Source organism: Homo sapiens, chromosome 1, assembly GCF_000001405.40.
Source record: "Homo sapiens chromosome 1, GRCh38.p14 Primary Assembly".
NCBI lineage: Eukaryota > Metazoa > Chordata > Mammalia > Primates > Hominidae > Homo > Homo sapiens.
Window position 1 is genome coordinate 450178 of NC_000001.11, and position 1870 is coordinate 452047.

The 1870-nt window shown below is 37.2% G+C and overlaps 1 protein-coding gene across 1 annotated transcript; it reads right to left on the reverse strand.

Moving 5' to 3' along the window:
- Window positions 1-562: 562 nt before the first annotated feature.
- OR4F29 (olfactory receptor family 4 subfamily F member 29) lies at window positions 563-1501 on the reverse strand. The gene has a single exon (NM_001005221.2). It carries the CDS (start codon window positions 1499-1501, stop codon window positions 563-565), a length of 939 nt encoding a protein of 312 aa, NP_001005221.2.
- Between the last annotated feature and the right edge of the window lie 369 nt (window positions 1502-1870).

Sequence of the window (1870 nt, forward strand, 5' to 3'; positions counted from 1 at the left end):
TGTCTACTCTAACTAATTCTACTCAGCATTCAACAAAATGAATATAGTGAATTCATACTAGAATTTTAAAAGCAAATGTCTTTATTCACTGACAACATAATCATCTATAAAGAAAATCCTACATAACCTATAAAAAACTGATGGAACTTATAAGTTTTGCAAGTTTACAGGATATAATGTCAAACAAAGATCTATTATGTGCCCATAAGCTAAGAATAAACAATTGTAAATTGAAATAAAAATGTCACTTAAAAGGGCATCAGAAATATAAAACTTAGAGATAAATATAAAGTACATATGCATAAAGTACCTGTTCACCAAAAACTACAAAACATTGCTGAAAGAAATTAAATGGGCATAATATAGATGTAGAGATGTGTTGAATTTATGACTCATTTTGAACAAGGAATATATTCATCATATATTCATCAGATAAGAATTATGTTACAGGTCTAATAACATTCAAATCAATACATAATGTCTCATAGTTCCTGAATCTAAAATATCAAAGAAAGAAACATAAAGCCATATCATGTTTAATGAGAAGGGCTTATTATATCATTTATGAGATCCTCTTGTAAATCACTAGCTGTTTGCATACTCTCTTTATTGCTGCCTTCATCTCCTTATTCCTGAATGTATAGACAACTGGATTCAGAAAAGGAGTGAGAACTGCATCAAAAATAGCCAGAAACTTGTCCATCTGTGAATTAGGGTGTGGCCGTGTATACACAAACATGGGTGGACCAAAGAACAAAAGGACCACTGTGCTGTGAGCTGAAAGAGTGGAAAGGGCCTTGGATGAACCACCTGAGGAATGTTTCCAAACAGTAAACAGGATGAAGACGTAGGAGATTAGAAGTATGAAGAAAGTACCCACACAGATAAACCCACTGTTAACAGTGACCATGAACTGCAATCTGTAGGTGTCGGTACAGGCTAGTCTGAGAAGCCGAGGAAGGTCACAGTAGAAGCTGTCCAACACATTAGGGCCACAGAAGGCTAAATTAACAAGAAATGCCAGTTGGAACAGGGAGTGACTGACACCAAGGGTCCAGGCAACAGCCAGAAATGAAAGGCACATTCTTGGGCTCATAATGGTCAGATAGTGGAGGGGCTTACATAGGGCCACATATCTGTCAAAGGCCATGGCTATGAGCAGCACCATCTCCACACCACCAACGACGTGGATGAAGAAGATTTGAGCGATGCAGCCTCCAAAGGAGATGACTTTGCGCTTTCTGAACAGGTCATAAATCATCTTGGGAGAAGTGACAGAGCAGGCTCCTAAGTCAATGAAGGAGAGACTGGCCAGTAGAAAGTACATGGGGGAGTGTAAGTGAGGGTCAGTGGTCACAGAAAACACAATGAGGATGTTTCCAGTAATGCTTGCCACATAGAGCACAGAGGAAAACACTAGGAGGAGGAGCTGGATCTCCCATGAATGAGTGAGTCCCAGAAACAAAAACTCAGATACCACTGAGTGATTCTCTCCATCCATTGGTCCAGCCAACTGGGCTGTGGCTAAAATTATGAGAACTAAGAAAATGGGGAGGAAATTGTGATTATGAAGATAATAATATGTACTAAAATCAATATTGCAATGTCACTATGAATAAATAGTATACAGTTATTCTGTTCCTCACATATTAAAAACAAAAAATCAACATAATATTATCACAACATGTGAGCTGCAACCTGATTTAAACCCATCATCAATACTTTCAGTGTAATGTCTGATCTAAAATTAACAGATTAGGTAAGAACAAGATTCCTGACTATCCATGAAATTCATCAGGTGTTTAAATGACCTGTGATATTAACTATTCCTCATTTCCAACATATTCCATTTGTACTTATACATATTCTT

Coding starts and splice junctions, on each gene's coding strand:
- OR4F29 (NM_001005221.2), bottom strand. CDS start 1,501: ATGGATGGAGAGAATCACTCAGTGGTATCTGAGTTTTTGTTTCTGGGA.